Source organism: Homo sapiens, chromosome 2 (assembly GCF_000001405.40).
Source record: "Homo sapiens chromosome 2, GRCh38.p14 Primary Assembly".
In the NCBI taxonomy this organism is placed as follows: Eukaryota; Metazoa; Chordata; class Mammalia; order Primates; family Hominidae; genus Homo; species Homo sapiens.
Genome location: NC_000002.12, coordinates 120703823 through 120721338, shown reverse-complemented (window position 1 = coordinate 120721338; position 17516 = coordinate 120703823). Strand labels below are relative to the sequence as shown.

At 50.8% G+C, this 17516-nt stretch overlaps 3 annotated features.

The window, feature by feature from the left end:
• Positions 10225 to 11092: an enhancer, noted in NCBI's record as "H3K27ac-H3K4me1 hESC enhancer chr2:121467823-121468690 (GRCh37/hg19 assembly coordinates)". NCBI's record gives its function as "activates a minimal SCP1, AML or CMV promoter by ChIP-STARR-seq in naive H9 embryonic stem cells {active_cell/tissue: H9 hESC(naive)}" and the evidence as "EXISTENCE:reporter gene assay evidence [ECO:0000049][PMID:30033119]".
• Positions 11093 to 11961: an enhancer, noted in NCBI's record as "NANOG-H3K27ac-H3K4me1 hESC enhancer chr2:121466954-121467822 (GRCh37/hg19 assembly coordinates)". NCBI's record gives its function as "activates a minimal SCP1, AML or CMV promoter by ChIP-STARR-seq in naive H9 embryonic stem cells {active_cell/tissue: H9 hESC(naive)}" and the evidence as "EXISTENCE:reporter gene assay evidence [ECO:0000049][PMID:30033119]".
• Positions 14967 to 15682: an enhancer, noted in NCBI's record as "H3K4me1 hESC enhancer chr2:121463233-121463948 (GRCh37/hg19 assembly coordinates)". NCBI's record gives its function as "activates a minimal SCP1, AML or CMV promoter by ChIP-STARR-seq in naive H9 embryonic stem cells {active_cell/tissue: H9 hESC(naive)}" and the evidence as "EXISTENCE:reporter gene assay evidence [ECO:0000049][PMID:30033119]".

The window sequence follows — 17516 nt, the reverse complement described above, 5'->3', positions numbered from 1 at the left end:
CCTGCTCCTCTCTGCCCATCAGACCAACCCCAGGGCCTTGTGTTCAGGGAAGGGCTGCATTCCAAGAGGAGGGTAACAAACTGGAAGTGCCCTGACACTGATTGGAAGAGAATGGCTCGGAACTCTGAGCCATGGCCAGCAGTGGAACGAACTGGAACAGAAAGACCGACAAGTGATCTTGAGCAGGCCACTTTGGTTACCAGCATCTGGTCACTTCACCCACTCAAACCTGAAGCTCTTCATCAGAAAAACCAGAGGGAGAGGGACCTACCTTGTGCAGAGAGTTGGACAGGCCCTGCAGACCCCTGCCTGTCTCTCTTCACATGGTGCATCCAGGCTCCACCTCTCCTCCTCTTGGTGCCTCTGATAGGGACAGATGGCAGTGGGGTGCGAGCCCTGGGCTAGGCTCACCAGAGCTCTGATGCTAATTCACTGTGCACTCCGATGATGTGTCCCCACCCTCAGGGCCTCGGTGTCCTCATCCGTAACACCACAAGTTGGGTGGGACAATTCACGGGCTGCTGGCTGTCTGAAGCCTGAATCTGGCCCACAGATGTGTTTTGGTTGGCCTGAATAACACTGAATAATTGTATTTTATTAAAAAAAACTTTCTTAGAGATAGAGTCTTGCTCTGTCACCCAGGCTGGCATGCAGGCATCATCACAGCTCACTACAGCCTCAAACTCCTGGACTCAAGCAATCCTCCCACCTCTCTAGTAATTGGGACTACAGGCACACATCACCTTGCCTGGCTTCTATTTTTAATTTCTTGACAACATTCAAAAACCAGGAATAAACACATACACAGATTTCTTTATTCCCCTGAAAAACTCAAAAGCTCTGGTCACCCCAGGCCTGCCTCTTGGCATAGCACCGCCCAGCTGGCCCTGAAAAGTGCCCGCCCCTGTAGAAAGAGCCAGAATGCCTACCTGCAAAGCTACTCAGCCAGTGCCTTGCCCAGCCCTCGCCTGGCATGGGGCTCCTCCTGGGACCAGCAGGACGCACTTGGAGGGCTGCTATGCACTGTACAGAGTCAGTACTCCACGTGCCCTTTGGAACCGTCCCTTTCTGGCCCTAAGGACGTGGCCAGGCCTGGACTCTACTTCTCTCAGGCTCCCATTTCCAAAGTGCCAAAAGTGACTGGGGGGGCTTTTATTGTAAATTTCAAGACATCAGAGGACACTGCTAAAGTATGTGAAAGAAATTTTCAACTTTTTGGATTAAAAACTATTTTCCTTGGACAGAGTCAGCAAGTCTCATTGCTCTTGTTAACTGGTCCCTACAGAACCTCCTCGCTGATGTGGCAGAGCTGGGTCTCTTGCCTTGGTCTGCAGTTTTTAAGTAACTGAGACAACCTTCTATTCTTTCCGCGTCTTTGCATTTCACATGTCTCTTTTGCCTAGTTCTGGAAAAGACGGATGCCTCCATGACCTGGGAGCCGCGTCTAGAGCCTGTCTCTGACATCCCACCAGGAGCCCTTTGTAATCAGGGTCTTCTTAACTCCATGGGGGCGTGAACAGGACCCTGGGCTCCCTTCATACACCCTGTGGTCGTGTTGCTTCATTCACTCACGCCATGAGGTTTCCTGAGCCCCCCCACGGTGTGCCTTCCCTGGGCTGCTCACCACTGTATCCCAGCACCAGGGTGGGTGCTGGCACCCCACGGAGGCCCTCTGGAGGTTGGTGGGATACATGAAGAAGCTGGGCCTTGGCAGGGGCTGTGGGCAGGCTGAGGTGCAACTTCTGCTCTCATGGGCAACCAGCTATCGGCCTGGCAAAGTGCCTGCTGTTTAGACATTATATCGGGTCAGCCAGCAGTCTTAGAAGTGTGACCAGAGCCTTCCAGACCCATCCTGGAATGCGGTGGCACAGAGGAGAGGGGCCCTTTGAATCTCCAGAGCAGCCTGTGGTGGGGGGACCATATGATATATCACCCAAATTGGGACACGGCATGAAGGATGATGCCAGGAGAACATTTGCAAATGGAACTGTTCCAGAAGACCTGGGATGAGTAAGTCACAAGAACTTTAAAATGGGTCGTACTCTTAGGTCCAACAATCCTACCTCCAAGAAATGCATCCTAAACCAGGGAATGTTTTACGAAGAATATGTCCATCAAAGTATCATTTACAGCTGGGTGCAGCGGCTCACACCTGTGATCCCAGCACTTTGGGAGGCTGAGGTGGGAGGATTGCTTGAGGCCAGGAGTTCAAGACCAGCCTGGGCAACATGGTGAGACCCTGTCTCTACAAAGAATGCAAAAATCAGCCAGGTGTGGTGGCATGCAGCTGTAGTCCCAGCTACTCAGGGGGCTGAGGCAAGAGGATTGCTTGAACCCAGGAGTTTGAGGCTGGAGTGAGCCATGAGCATGCCACTGCACTCCAGCCTGGGCAACAGAGCAAGACCTAAGGGTCCCACCACAGGAGAGTCATTCAGTCAGCTAGAGTATAGCCATCTGCACAACAGAATAGTAGGTAGCCATTTTAAAAGGTTTTACAAATAATTTATTTCAATGTGTCAAGGTAGGTATGATACAATGCTATGTGAAAAAACACCAAAATACAACTTGATTACATGTGATTACAACTCTAGTCTCAAAAAGCCAACCCATGCATAGAGTAAGAGACTCGAAGGAAATTCAGCAATATGCTAACAGTGGTTGTTTTGGGGGCTGGAAAATGTTTTCTTGCTTTTTTTTTTTTTTGTATTTTCTAAACTTTCAAAAGGTTCATATACTTCTTTCATGATAGGAAAAAATCATTCTCTGAATCACATCAAGCAGCCTGGTGAAGGCCAGGGAGACCCATGTGGGCAGAGCCAGGAGTGGCCACTGTCCTGTGCCGAGCTTCGTCACCCAGTGCAGCTGCGTGAAGCTGTTTGGTGAGGCTGGGAGTCAACTCTGTTTTTGGTCCTCTTGAAAGTGAGCAAGGCATTGTGGTCCCCAGAATAATGGTCCCCAAAGATGTCCATGCCTGAATCTCCTGAACCTGTGATTAAGTTACCTTATGTGGCAAAAGGCATTTTGCAGATATGGTTAAATTAAGGACCTCGAGCTAGGGAGAGCATCCTGGATTATCTGTGTAGGCCCAACCTAATCACTTCAGTCCTTAAAAGTAGAAGCAGAGGCCCAAGAGTGGGTCAGAAAATATGACTAAGAAGGACTCTAGCAGCCATTGTTGGCTTTGCAGATGTAGGAAGGGACCATGAACCAGGGAATGCAGTGACTTCTAAAAGCTGAGAACTGGCACAGTGGTTCACACCTATAACCCCAGCACTTTGGGAGGCCCATGTGGGTGGATTGCTTGAACCCAGGAATTTGAGACCAGCCTGGGCAACATAGCGAGAACTTGCCTCCACAAAAAAAAAAAAAAAAAAAAAAACCAGGTGTGGTGGTGGGTGCCTGTAGTCCCAGCTACTCAGGAGGCTGAGGTGGGAGGATGACTTGAGCCCAGGTGGTTGAGGCTGCAGTGAGCTGAGATCACACCACTGCACTCCAGCCTGGATGACAGAGTGAGAACCTATCTCTCAAAATAATAACATTAATAAATAAAAGCTGGGAACTGCTCTCACTTTACAGCCAGCAAGAAAATGAGGACTTCAGTACTGTAACCACAAGGAACTGAGTTCTGCCTGCAACCCAAGTGAGCACAAAGCAGGATGTCTCCCAGAGCCCCCAGGAATGAAGCTCCACTTGCTGATACCTGAATTTTACTCTGGTGAGATTCGTGCTGGACTTCGGATCAGTAGGACAGTGACATTAAAAAAATGTGTGTCATTTAAAGCCACTAGATTTGTGTAATTCGCTATGGCAGCTGTAGAAAATGAACTCAGACACAGACAGAGCACAGGCTGGGAGTCAGGACGTGAATTCCAGGCCTGGCTCCACCATCGGGAGTCTGTGTGTCCTTGGTGAGCCCTTGGTTCTTTGGATTCCTTCCACACGGTGTGGGGTAACCCCTCGGCCCCTCCCAGCTCTGACCCTCGATTTTGCATGTGTGCCTCATTGGCCCTGAAATCTGAAGAGGAAGAGGGGTTTTTCCTGCTGCAAAGCCTGGGATCCCTAGCCTCATTCATTATATGGGATGTGTGGGGTGTGGACAGGGGCAAGAGAATACTGGAGACCAGGGCCTCCCATCCCAGAGCTGCCAGGAAGGGCCACACTCTCTGGCCACAGGTGTCTGGCCAAGCATTGAGTTCTCTGCACCTGCACTTCAAGGTGAGGTCAACATTTGCTCACAGATGCTCCTAGACTGCCCCACAGTTTGCTGCCAGCCTGGGCATGGGGCTCCGGAGGACAAGTAGAAGTTTGGGGGCAGTAGGTTTCCATTGGGCAAGCAGAGTCCCTAAAAGAGACTTGCTGGGGCTCAACAGCCTCACCTCACTATCCTCCCAGACCTTTGCTGGGGCACCGAGTGAGAGGGTGGGCCTGGCTTGGACCAGGGGAGGCAGGGTGGCTCTCTGTGGTGCCCCAGAAGCCGCCGCCCTGCCCTGCTCTGCAGCCTCCCACCCAGCGCTTTGATCCTTGCAGACAGGCCCCCTGGTGCTCCCTGTCTGTTCGTGTCGCTGGGCCTGAGCCAAGATGGAATGTGGGAAGCCTGCTTAGCTTGGGGCTCCCCACCCTGCCCAAGCTGCACACCTCATCCTGGGGTGGCCCGTGCAGGCGGGTGGGCCCCTTCTCAGAGTGAGATCCCAGAGTCTCAACCTCAGTTTCCCCAGGGTCAAACGGAGATACTAAATTGCACCTACCTCAGAGGGTCATGACAATGATAGAATCAGAACATCACTAAGGGGCATTTAATGTGCCAGTGCCTGGCGTGCCATAAGTAAATGTTCAATACATGTCAACTTTTAAATTATTAATTATAGTGTTAACCAAATCATTAATTCATTGTACGCACTTGGGCAATTCCCTTCTCTCTCCAGGCCTGTTCCTACATCTAACAGGAGCGAGTCGGACTTGCCGATGATTTCTGGAGCCCTGCCTGCCTCTGAGATTTCAGGCTACCTCAGTTTCCCCACCTCCTAGTCTAACGGGCATTCATCAGGCACAGGACAGAGCCCTGAGGAGACAGCAGCCCCCAGGAGGCTGGTTCCTGATCTGCTGCCTGCTGCCTGCTGCCTGGGAGGCCCCATCAGAAAACTGGGGCTGGCAGCATGTTAGACTCTCCTGCGCCTGCCTCTGCCTGTTTTCACGAGGCACCCTGCAGGCTTGGCCAGGACTGCTGAGGAGTGGGGACGTCTGGGGAGGCGAGCTCAGCCGAACTGCCGTGCAGGCTGGGGCCTGGTGCTGCTGGAGTCAGCCTTCATCAGGGTCCCTGGCTCTGGCCTCCTCTTCTCTAGGGCAAAATCCCAACGCTGTAATGGCCAGGATCTGCCCCTCCCCACATCCTGCTCTTGATGGGAAACATGCCCATCATTGGGTGTCCCAACCAGGCAGCACCCCTTTCATTCTCTTTGTCTTTCCATGCACTATTTGACTTGCCTGGGGTGCATCTCCCTCGCCCCCTACAAAATTCCCCTCCCCTGGAAAGCTCCCTGGTGACTCCCTGACTCTCCCCTCTGGATGGACAAGGTTAGATGCTTCTCCCAAGCTCCCATACATGCCCTCTCGTCTTCCCCTACATGTATCCACCTCCCTCTCAGATCATAAGCTCCCCAAAGGCAGGGGCTGGCACCACTTTATCTTTGTTCACGGCGCTTGGCCCAGAGCCTGCCAGAAATGCTTGTCATATAAGAACCAACAGTGAACACTGCATGAATAAATGAGTACATGAGTCGTTTGGGCATATGTGAGGGCACGTTGATTGCACAGACCATCAGTGTGGGCAGCTCAGGGAAACTGTCCAGGGATGGGCTGGCTCTGCAGATCCAAGTGAGCAGTCAGCAGCAAGCCGGGGCGTGACCGTCCAAGGGGCCAGGCCTGGGCTGAGGGTAGAACTCCAGGAGAGGGGATCTGAGGCTGGGGAAATGCCAAGCCCCACTTTCCTCATCTGCATAAAAGGGAAGAATACTAATCCTTGCTTTGGAGATTTGTGGTGAAAATTAAGCAAAATAATATCTGCACGGAGCCCAACACAGACCTGCTGTTCTGTAAATGGCAGCTCACCTGGGATTTGGATCCCAGACTGGTTTTCATTTTGTAAAAGTGACGTAAAATTTTCTTGGCCAGGAATTTTCCCTTTTAAAAGAAAAATACGATGTTTACTAAGTGCACACGTGGTCTGAAGTTACGAGAAAACACAGTAAAGCTGGCACATATGACAGGGGAGGTCTGGGGACACATCCTGGGTCCAGTGTCTGCCACAGCTTCTGGTGCAGTGTGGAAAAGTCCGGTTGTCATTGAACTCTAGCTACTGCCTCTCCCTATGCTGTGTGCTCACAGCAGACATTCCTTACTCTCCAGGTGGGTATGTAACTTTGGGGAAAGCAATGTGGGGTTCTCTTTCAACATTTAAAGTAGGTGGATGTCATTTCACCAACACTTGGACCTCTGGAAACCTGTCATGTGGATCAGTGTACTTTGTGTCCTCTGTGGCATTCCTAATAATAGCAAAAATGGAAACAATGTATATGTTCCTCAACAGAAGCATAATTAAACACATCATGTTACATCCACGGGGCAGGCTATTACAAAGCCCTTGAAACAAATGGTACCGATCTTAATGCTGATATGGAAACGCATCCAAGAAGAAAGGCAAGTGTCAAACAATATGTATGGGAGCAAGGAAGACCAGCTGGCCATGACCATGGCCAGGGGATGCCTCAGGAGGGCCTCTGTGGAGATTTGGGGACAGAAGCACTATGGGTGCCCTATGAGTGCAATTCCCCCAAAGGAGATGGAAGCACCAGGTGTGGCCCTATTGATGGTGAATATTGATCAAGTCTGGGCAGGGCTGGTGAGGAACCGTGAGACTCATCATCACTCCAGCCCAGTGTCATGGTCTGGACTGCTAAGTTGTATTCATGGACTTGCATGACCCGGACAGCTTTGGGAACTGGGGCAGTGGGCAGAGGTGCTATGTGGGTACCCTGCCCACATTCCCTGACCCTTTCCATTATGTACATTCTGGCCTGGGTCTGACTTCCACGTGTTTGCCTGGGAGGTCTCTCTGGACACTGGAGGCCACTCTGCCTGCACACCAGCTGGAAGCCGCAGGGAATTGTCTCATGGCAGCAGCTTCCACCACTGGCACATGGGAGCTGGTAGATAAATACCTCAGCTCCCTCACCCCTCAGGTTCTTCACTTTTTCAGAGTTGCCCGTGGGATCCCAGCTGCCCACAATGAAGACTTGCTTGATAAGAGTTCGTCACCAGCTTCCCTTCCCTGCCTGTCTCCCTTCACCCCTGTTGCAGGTTGAATTGTGTCCCCAAAACTTACGTAATGAAGTCCTAATCCCTAGCACCTCAGAATGTGACCTTATCTGGAAATAAGCTTGTTGTAGATGTAATTAGCTCAGTTAAAGTTAAGATGAGATCATGAAGGTGGGCCTTAATCCGGTATGACTGGCAGCCTTTCAAAAAGGGGAACCTGGGACACAGAAACAGGGAGAACACCATGGGAAGATGACATCGGATCAAGGTGTTGCATCCACAAGCCAAGGAATGCCAAAGATGGCCGGCAGCCACCAGAAGCCAGGAGAGAGGCATGGAGCAGGTCCTCCCTCACAGCCTGCAGAAGGAGCCAACCCTGATGACCCCGTGATCTTGAACTCTGGACTCTAGAACTGTCAGATGGTAAATTTCTGTTGGTTGGGCCACCCAGTTTAGGGTACACTGTTATGGCAGCCCCAGCCTACTAATTCAAGCACCACACTGGTGTTTTCCAGCTTGCCAAATAAAGAATTTGCACTCAGTTTTTGTCTCAGTGTCGGGAACTAAGGGACAGGGGAGAGGACAGAGAGGCTCATCCAGCAGAGCAGGAAGATAGCAAGAGGCAGTATAATTAAAACGCCTCAGGGAACTGGGGGTGGGGCAGATCAAAGGCCATACCCCCACCCTCTGAATCAGAACCCGGGGATGTTCCCTGAATTCTGTGTGTTCAGGTAGAGGACATCAGGGTGGGGAACTGGCTCAAGCTGGCAAGGCGATTGCCCATTTAATATCCCCCGACCAACCTTCTGCCCATGACTGAGGGAGGCAGGACTGGGTGGCCCACTGAGGCAGGGTGAGGGCTTGGTGGTTCACATGAGTGCATAGCAGGAGCCTCCTGCAGAGACGCCAGCCTCCTGCTGCTGAAGACAGGTATGCAGCCAACATGCCAGCTCTAAATAGGGTCCCCTGAGGGTATTCCTGTTTAATAAGGCAGAGACCACTGGTAAAAATGGAGACAAAAACATCTTATAGTACAGTCGTGGGAAAATGAAAAATTTGGTTTTTGTTAAAAAATCGAAAGTTACTTTTTGGGAGCCAAATGTTCATCGTGAGAGGAAAAATTAAGTAAACAATAGTTCCTATTTCTGACGTGGCCAAGGGCTTAGCTCGTATGCTGCCACCTCCCGAACCCTGGTCCCTTCTTGATGGACACCTGGCTCCAGGTGTTGGCACAGGTGTTGGCTCTGTCCTGGCTGGATATCCAGGGCTGATGACCTAAGAAAGAGAAGGGTTGGAGGCTTGGCTGTGCCAAACCTAAGTCCCTGCAACTTGGGCCTCAGGTTCCCTCTCCTCAAAGCAGACACAACACTGAAGGGGTGCAGCTGGTTGGGCGGAGCCTCCTGGCCCTTCTCTGAGATCCTGCCCACCCCAGTCATGGGAAGCAGGCTGCGGAGGCCCCTGAGGGTGGAGTGATGGTGGGAGGGTAGCGGGGAGGGCTGATGTCGGGGGCGAAGGCAGGCTTGGGGCTGAACGGCAGGAGCTGATCTGAAACATCCTGTGGGTGCTGGAGACAGAAAGATTCTTGGTGGTTTGGGTGTAACTTGAAATTCTGCCATCTTCCCTTCTTATCTCATCATCAGAAGGAAATCAGACAAGAGAGCATGAGCTCATGCTAATAGAAGCCATTTTTTGCCCTTTTGGTTCCTATCAATTAAATCCTCTCCCTTCTGTGGATCACCTTCAGAGGCTCTCTGCAAGGCTTTTCAGGACCAGATGGTGCAAAGCTAGTTTGGCTGGCAAGCACGTGTTAAGGGCTGTCTCTGCAAGGGCCCAGAACAGCTTCATGGCCTTTGACACCACTGAACTTGGATTTGAAGCTCAATTCTGCCATCAGCCAGCCGTGTCACTGTCAGTGGGGTACTTAGTTGAGACCCTTCTATGCAATACCTTCTGGACATCACTACTTTGGCTTGTATAGGAACCTCAGACTCAACTTGTACAAAACTGACTTGACATCTTCCTCCCCAAGCGTGCTCCTCTGATTCAGTAAACAGCCCTATCACCAGCCAAGTTCCACACCCAACGCCTTGGGCAGAAAGCTGTAAAACTAACTGATTACCACTTCCTCCAGGAAGCCTTCCTGGACCACAACCCGTCTCCTGGATCACAGCCCATCTCCAACAGCTTCCATGCCATCATGTGTGTCTGTCTGACGCACTCAACACTTTACATTTTGATGATCTGTTGGTGTGTCTCTCTTACTAAATTGTGAGGCCCTGGAGGGCAGGAGCAATGTCTTAAGTTTTGGGAATCCCACGACCTAGCAGAGGGCTTACTTTAGATAGTTTGGGGGAGTCTAGACTCCATTTTCTCCATCTCCCCCTGCTCTTTCCTACCTCCAAATAAACAGTCAATTCAAATCATAAAACAGTGGATCTGCTTCAAGACAAGTCCCTTAACCATAGCCCTGGACCAGACTGCAGCCCCAGAACCTTCCAACCTAGAAATCCTATGCTGCCAATGAGGAGCTCAGGAAGAGACAGGGCATGATTGGTGAATCCAGGAGTTCCCTTAGTGCCCTTCCTTTCCCTCATGCAGCACATCCAACTAACCCAGAGTCCTTGCGCCTCTTCCTCCTAAGCCCAGCTGCTGGGTCGCTCTCCTCTTTGTCTGTCCCGCCCCATGCTGGCCTAGGCCCCCAGCTCCACAATCCCCCCAGTCTCCTCCAGAGTGGGAAATGCTTATGACCCTCTCCAAGGACCAGGGTTCTGATCAGGGCACCCGTCTGTTTGTAATCCCCTTCCCTGTCTTCTTTTAAGGAAGCTCAGCTCAAAAATTCACTGTTCCCAAGGGCCCTCCCACCCCTGTCCCTTCTGCCTTCGACTGTCTCTTCTGTACTGACCTCTAGCACATCTCCTGGGACACACAGCTGTGTGGTAATAGCAGCTCTGCCTCTCTCAACCATAGGACCAAGGTCCCAGCATCTGACGCTTAGTAGGCCTTCAGCTCTTGTCTGTTCTCTTTCCCAGGACACTTGGCTCCCAGGCCTCCTCAGCAGGGACCTGCTGCGTGAATTTTTTTTTTTTTTTTTTTTTTGAGATGGAGTCTCACTCTGTCACCCAAGCTGGAGTGCAGTGATGTGATCTTGGCTCACTGCAACCTCCACCTCCTGAGTTCAAGCAATTCTCCTGCCTCAGCCTCCCCAGTAGCTGGGACTACAGGTATGTGCCACCACGCCCAGCTAATTTTTTTTGTATTTTTAGTAGAGACGGGTTTCACCATGTTGACCAGGCTGGTCTCGATCTCCTGACCTCAGGTGATCTGCCCGCCTCGGCCTCCCAAAGTGCTGGGATTACAGGGGTGAGCCACCACGCCTGACCCTGCTGTGTGATTTTAGCTCTGTCCTCGGCGTGCTCATGAATCACACTGGAGAGCCCTGTGTGGTCCTTCCACGGCTGACGCATCATGAGCCTGTTCAGGCATTTTTCTCCGCTTCACTCTGCCATCTGTGTGTGGGATGACGAGGAAAGCCCATGTGAAGCGACTGTCTCCTGCCTGTTTATTGAGGGCTCCGGAGTGCTCTTCAAAACCATCTTCCTGCCCTTTTCGGCAGACAGCAGCATCTCAGGGATGCCTTTGCCTCCCAGAGGGGCCGGAGGTGGGCAGGGAACAGAAACCTCAAAGAGTCCTGCAGCTCTCTCAGCGAGAAGCCGCCACAGCCCTTCTCGAGGCGTGCGCCCGAAATGCACTTCTTCTAGCTGGAGGTGGGTATCAAATCCTATTTTACATTCGCCTCAGAGTTTCAATTCAAAGACGGCACTTCCACAGATAGAAATTTCAAATTCTTAACAAAAAATAAAGAGAGGCTCGTGTGAAGGAGGCATTCTGGATTTGACAAGGTGTTATCTGGGCATTTACCACCTCTGTCCTCCTCCAAGCAGGGTCTCGGGGCCCACAGTAGCATTGGCATCACCTGGAATACGCACTAGAAATGCAGACTCTCAGGCCATACCCCAGATCTGCTGAATGGACGTCTCCGGGGTGGGGCCCAGCAGTCTTTGTTTCAGCAGCCCTCCGGAGGCTTCTTCCGGCTTGAGAAGCACTGTCCTAACCTACAGCTTTGAGTATTTGGAGGAATTACCTAGTTCTGAAATATCCTAGGAGAATCAGGACAGGGACAATGAATGGCTTGCTTTCTTTTTAATTCAAGCCTAAACCAGATGTCCTGAAATTAACATTAGCTGCATCAGAATCCCTGGAGGGCTTGTGAAAGCACAGCTTGCTGGGCCCCACCCTGAGAGCCTCTAATTCAATAGGTCTGAGGGCTGGAGGGATCTGGGAATTTGCATTTCCAAGTTCACAAGGGATGAGGATGACGTGTTGCTTGTCCACATTTTGAGAACCATTGTCCTAAGCAATTTCCAAAATAAATCGACTGTCGGATGGACACCAGCATGGGCACTCTGTACTGAGCATCAGATTAGTACCATGTTGGTTGATATCCTATTCTTTCAGGGGTTTGAAAATTTTTGTTTGTTTTAAAAATAAGGCCAAAGAGGCGAGGCACCGCGACTCACACCTGTAATCCTAGCACTGTGGGAGGCCAAGGTGGGCGGATCACCTGAGATCAGAAGTTGGAAACCAGCCCGGCCAACATGGTAAAACCCCATCTCTAATAGAAATACAAAAATTAGCCAGAAATCACTTGAACCCAGAAAGCAGACATCGCAGCGAGCCGAGATTGTGCCACTGCACTCCAGCCTGAGCAACGGAGCAACACTTTGTCTCAAAAAAATAAATAAATAAAAGTAAGGTCAAAGGCTTTTAGTGGTAATGTCTCATTGTGCCTCAGCTTACTCACCTGTAAAATGGGCAGGTCATAGTTCCTACCCCAAAGGATGGTTATGAGTGTTAAACACACAAATCCACCAAAAAGCACCTAGCCCTGTGTCTGGCACACAGGCATGGCGCCTCTAAATATTAGCCATAGTGTTATAATCTCACGTTTGTATTGGACTGGAAAATGAGTGCCATAATTCCTTGTGCAAATCCCAAATCATAGGGAGCACATACGCAAAGTGAGAGTGAATTGCATTTCTGTTCAAAGAAGTGAGTAGGAAGAAAGTTTTTCTCAGCCCTCATGGGCACGTCCCTGGAGGCAAGTGTTCACACATGCTCAGCCATACTGGGCTGAGCCAGGGTTTAGGGTCCCAGAGACGAGCTTCAGATAGAACAGCATGGATGGACGAAGAGCAAGAAAAGGTGGTGTTAAAACAGAAGGTTTCCCAGGCCCAATTTTTATTTAGTTTTTTTGGGGTTTTTTTTTTGTTATTTGTTTTTTTTTTTTTTTTTTGAGGCAGAGTCCTATTCCGTTGCCCAGGTAGAGTGCAGTGAAGTGACCACACGTCATTGCAGCCTCGACCTCCCAGGCTCAAACGACTCTCCCACCTCAGCCTCTGGACTAGCTGAGACTACAGGCGCACAACAACATGTCTGGCTAATTTTTTATTTTTTTGTAGAGATGGGGGTCTCACTGTGTTGCCCATGCTGGTCTCGAACTCCTGGACTCAAGCAATCCTCCCACCTTGGCCTCTCAAAGTGCTAGGATTACAGGTGTGAGCCACCATGCCTGGCCATATTTTTTTGTTATTATAAAAGCAATATACACACTCATTGCAAAAAGTGACCAGGTTACAGGCCTCTGATTCCTTCAGCATCCCGGGTGGTGACCACTCGTGATGTGTTGGGTGTTCTCCATTTTCTACTAATGCAGAAGTGTACAGGAATAATATCCTTGTTTTTCCTCCTTTGGGGCAAGTGTAATATCCACAATACTGACCACAGATGATGTGCGTTGGTCTTCAGAAAGGTGCTTTAAGAGATATGAGTTGGTGGTTTCAGTGATGTTTAAGGCATAAAAAGTGTCTGCTCCCACACTCCCTGAAAATCAAGACATCCTAATAATGAGTCAGGATGGGGAAGTCTCTCCTCTTCCAAGAGAGGCAGAAATGTTCTCCAGCCCCAGGCGACCGAGCTGATCAACACAGCTCAGTTAAGTCATGGGGAAAGGGTCAAGCAAACCCCTGAGGGGAGAGCCTCACTTGAACAATGCCTCACTGGGGAAAAGAACCCCCAGCTTCATTTTAGAGGAGAAGCTTCTCTGCTCCCTACTTTCTCAATTCTGGCATGTCCTGTCTGCAAAGTCCTGCCAAGTCTGCCCCCAAGATGTCCCTGCATTACAGACCTGACCGCAGACCCAGGGGTCATGGGCATTGTACCAGCAGCAAAAGCAAGTGCCCCTGGCAGGATGGAGGCTCTCTGGACCTGCTTCAGAGCAGCCTGTCCTCCTGACAGCTTCTGCTCGCCTTTCCAGCCTGCCCAGGCTGCAGAACACTTCTGTTTCGCTTTTCCTTTTTAAGAGAGAGAGATTATCATTATTTTTTCCAGCTACCCACCAGCAATTCTATAACTTACCCTGTCGTCCCTTCGTTTACAATCTCTATAAGGCCCCATCTTGGTCTTAGCACACACAGGTCCCATAGGATCCTAGCCCTCCCTCCCACTCACCTCTCCTGCCTCTGCCCTCCCACTTCAAGCTCCAGGTCCACTATTTGGGTCATTTGTGCTCCCACCTCAGAGGCTTCACACCTCCGTTCTCCCTGCCAGGATCCTCTGCTCTGCCCTCCACCTTTCCCCCTCCCAGCATCAGCCGAGATGTCTGCCACTCACCCCTGGAAGCCTCACCTTCTAAGTGCTCCCATTGTCTTCCCCTCCACTTTCCAGAATTACCCATCCTTTCAAAAAATATATAAACTGGATTGTATTATCCGTGTTGTTCTGAAAGTTGCTTTTCTTTTGGACATTTTTCTTGACCACTCAGAGATGCCTGGTATCCCACAGAAAGGAAGTACCATGATGTAGTGGCTGATTCCCCTGCTGATAGACACTTAGGGTTGTTTCTATGTCCATCACTACAGAGAATGTTGCGAAGACCATTGGTGTGCACACACCTCTGCACAGATGTGGGAGAATTGTTTAGGATAGAGACCTGAGGGTCGAATTGCTGGGTCAGGCGGTCTGTGCACACTTCGCATTTTGAAAAGCAATTCCCAAGAGCTCTCCAAAATGTTAAGTACCTGTTTTTACTTCCACCAATTGTGAAATGGCCTTCACTTCTTCACTACTTCAAGGCTGAGTAGTAAAGCCTTTTGGAATTGAAAACTGGAACCTTGTTTTGATAGGGCTAGTTGGCAGTGTCTCACAGTGGTTGAGTTCCCTTGACTTTTCCTCTCCTTCCCACTAGCAGGGATGCTCTGGGCTTTAGGATCAAGACTGTCTTTAGGGGGCTGGGGCACAACTGAGATGGGGATTAGAAGAGGAACCCAAGACCTTTAGTACTTTATGGAAAAACCATTTTGTTTTGCTGATTGACTTGCAGGAGTTCTGCCAATGCCTTTTGGTTTTGTTTTGCCATTTCTGTGGTCTTGGAAGTGGCAGGTGACCAGATAATGTACATGAGAATCTGCCAGTGGGTCAAAGGAGGTGGCAGGTGGGGAACCTGGTGGTGGCAGCCACAAAGGCTTCAGCTCGGAATAGCTGTGTTGTGGTCTCATTTTCCTGCATTCACGCATTCATTCACTAAACAGTCCATTCACCCCTAAAATAATTACTGAGTGCTTTCCTATGCCAGACACTGTGTTTGACTTTGGGATGCAGAGTCATTAAAGAAAAAGGGGGGCAGCTGGCAGCAAGGAGAGGGTGTTCCTAGCCCCAAAGTAGGAAGGTGCAGAGTGTGGGGATTGAGAGGGGGGTAGGCAGAGCCAGGGCCCACAGCTTTTGAAAAGTGTCACAAGAACAGTGAGAAGCCACTGAAGAATGTAAGCAAGGGTCAAGGAACAGGATTTGGTTTGTGATATTAAAAGACCCCTACATTTGCTCAGGGACATGAGGGTCCAGTCGACTGCAGGCTTGGAGGAAGGAGCCCGGGGTCAACACTGGCTCAAGCCAGGAAACCCTGGGCAGTAGACTCGCTGGGTTCCATTTCCTCTGGATAATCTGAATTCCTCCTGTGTTCCTGGTGTGGGGCTAGAATTAAATGACCGTGGCCTTGGAAATGGGTAAGTGCTGGGAAAAGGGCTCCTGGCGGCCAGCCACCGCACTGCCAGGCCCACGGATGTGTGCTCCATTTGTCCTTGGAGAAGGGCAGGGAAAGGACACTGGAGGGACCAGCCAGGCGGGACAGTAGGCCTGGAAGCATCAGGGTTTCCCTTTTACACCCCTACCTTTCCACTCTGCCCACCCAAAGCCCAGGAAATACAGCAGAGGTTTTCCAACTTTACTAGGCAAAAGTGTTGCAAAACGCAGTTGCAGAACCTATCTGACATCACAGATCAAACTAGTCCCTGTGTCCATTACCTCCTGTAATGCTCAAAGCAGCCCTGCAAGAGGTGGCATGTTCCCTACTTTAAGAAAGAAGCAGCCGGGCGCGGTGGCTCACACCTGTAATCCCAGCACTTTGGGACTCCGAGGCGGGTGGATCACGAAGTCAAGAGATCGAGACCATCCTGGCCAACATGGTGAATCCCCGTCTCTACTAAAAATACAAAAATTAGCCAGGAGTGGTGGCATGAGCCTGTAGTCCCAGCTACTTGGGATGCTGAGGTGGGAGAATGGCTTGAACCTGGGAGGAGGAGGTTGCAGTGAGCAGAGATGGTGCCATTGCACTCCAGCCTGGAGACAGAGCGAGACTGCGTCCAAAACAAAAACAAAAACAAAAAACCCAGGTCTAATTGGAGTCTCCTCACCCTTCTCTGGCCTCTCAGAGGCTTGGCCTGAAAGGCCTTTCCAGGTGTCCAACGACAGAAGGGTCCTTCAGGCCCCTGACCTCTGTCCTCAGCTGAGCCTCCCATGCTCACTGTCCTGGTGGTCAGCACATATGAGGCCCCTCCAAATGCAGGTGAACCTTGGAGGCTTGTCCAGATCCCTGGAGTGTGTGCTGCTGGAAGACCAGCCTCTACTGGGACTCACCTGTCCCTTCCCCCACAACACTGGAGCCTGGCCTGGCACAGAGCAGACCTACAAGGGGGCACAGTGAGTCACTGTGGGGTCACCGAGAGACCTTGGCAGAGATCCTGGAGACCTGGTGTCTTTCAGCCTGGCCTAGTGAAAAGTGAAAAGCCCAGGTTCTGAGCCACAGCTGGAACCCATGGATTCCAGGAGTGCAGAGATAAAGGCTTCTGTGGGGGAGGGGGTGGAGTGCTTCAGTGCATGGCCTCTGGGGCCAAACGAGGCCATACACTAGTCCTGTGACTTGGACAAGCCACCTGGTTTCTCTGTGTCTCAGTTTCCCCACCAGTAAATGCGGATATATTAGAAGCTACCTCATAGGGTTTCCTTGAAAGGAAATGCGTTAACATGTACACCATGCTTAGACCAGTGAACTTGTATAACGTGCTTAGAGTCTGGCAAATGCATAAATAGTTGTTAATTCTGTCCTGCCCTCAGGGGCGTAGAGTTTAGCCGAGGGACTGATACACAGCTGTGAGAGCATAGATACACTCCCCAAGAGGGGACCGCATCCCTGGCATAAGCTTGGACCTTGAGTTTTTGAAGCCATAGAGGCCCATTTTCAGATCCCGACAGCTTCTGATTCTAATTGGGGAAAGATTGCTCTTTGCTTTGGGAATGTTTAAAAATCAAAGTCAGAAATCCTATTTCTGAGCTGAAAGTTTTCACCCCTGAGCTCAATTGTCCTGTTTGTAACTGTAAATGGTCATTCTCACTGGGAGCACTGTTGGGTCCAAGAACGTGAACTTGATAACAAGGGAGGAGAGCCTGTCACCGGGAATGAGGTAGGCAGTGTGTATGGCCGTTGACGGGCAGAAAGAGGGCCGGGGGTGGGGCAGGGCAGGATCCTGGTTCCAAGGATATGGGCCAGGTGGTTGGCTGCCCCGGTGCAGGGCAGCAAACCAGCCTGGGGAGCACCCCGTGGGCTTATTGGGTGGGCCTGACCAGCAGGCCATAGAGCAGGGGCCCTGTCCAATTTGAAGATTTTTCTCTTCTGCACCATAATTCCCTCCTGCCATTCTCAAACCTCTGGAAAAGTTTGTATCTGGTGCTCGCCATGTTTGGGGAATCATGGAGCCACCTGTGGCAGTGGGACAAGGAGGCGAGGAGCAGTGAGGAGTGAGAGATGGCAGGACAGA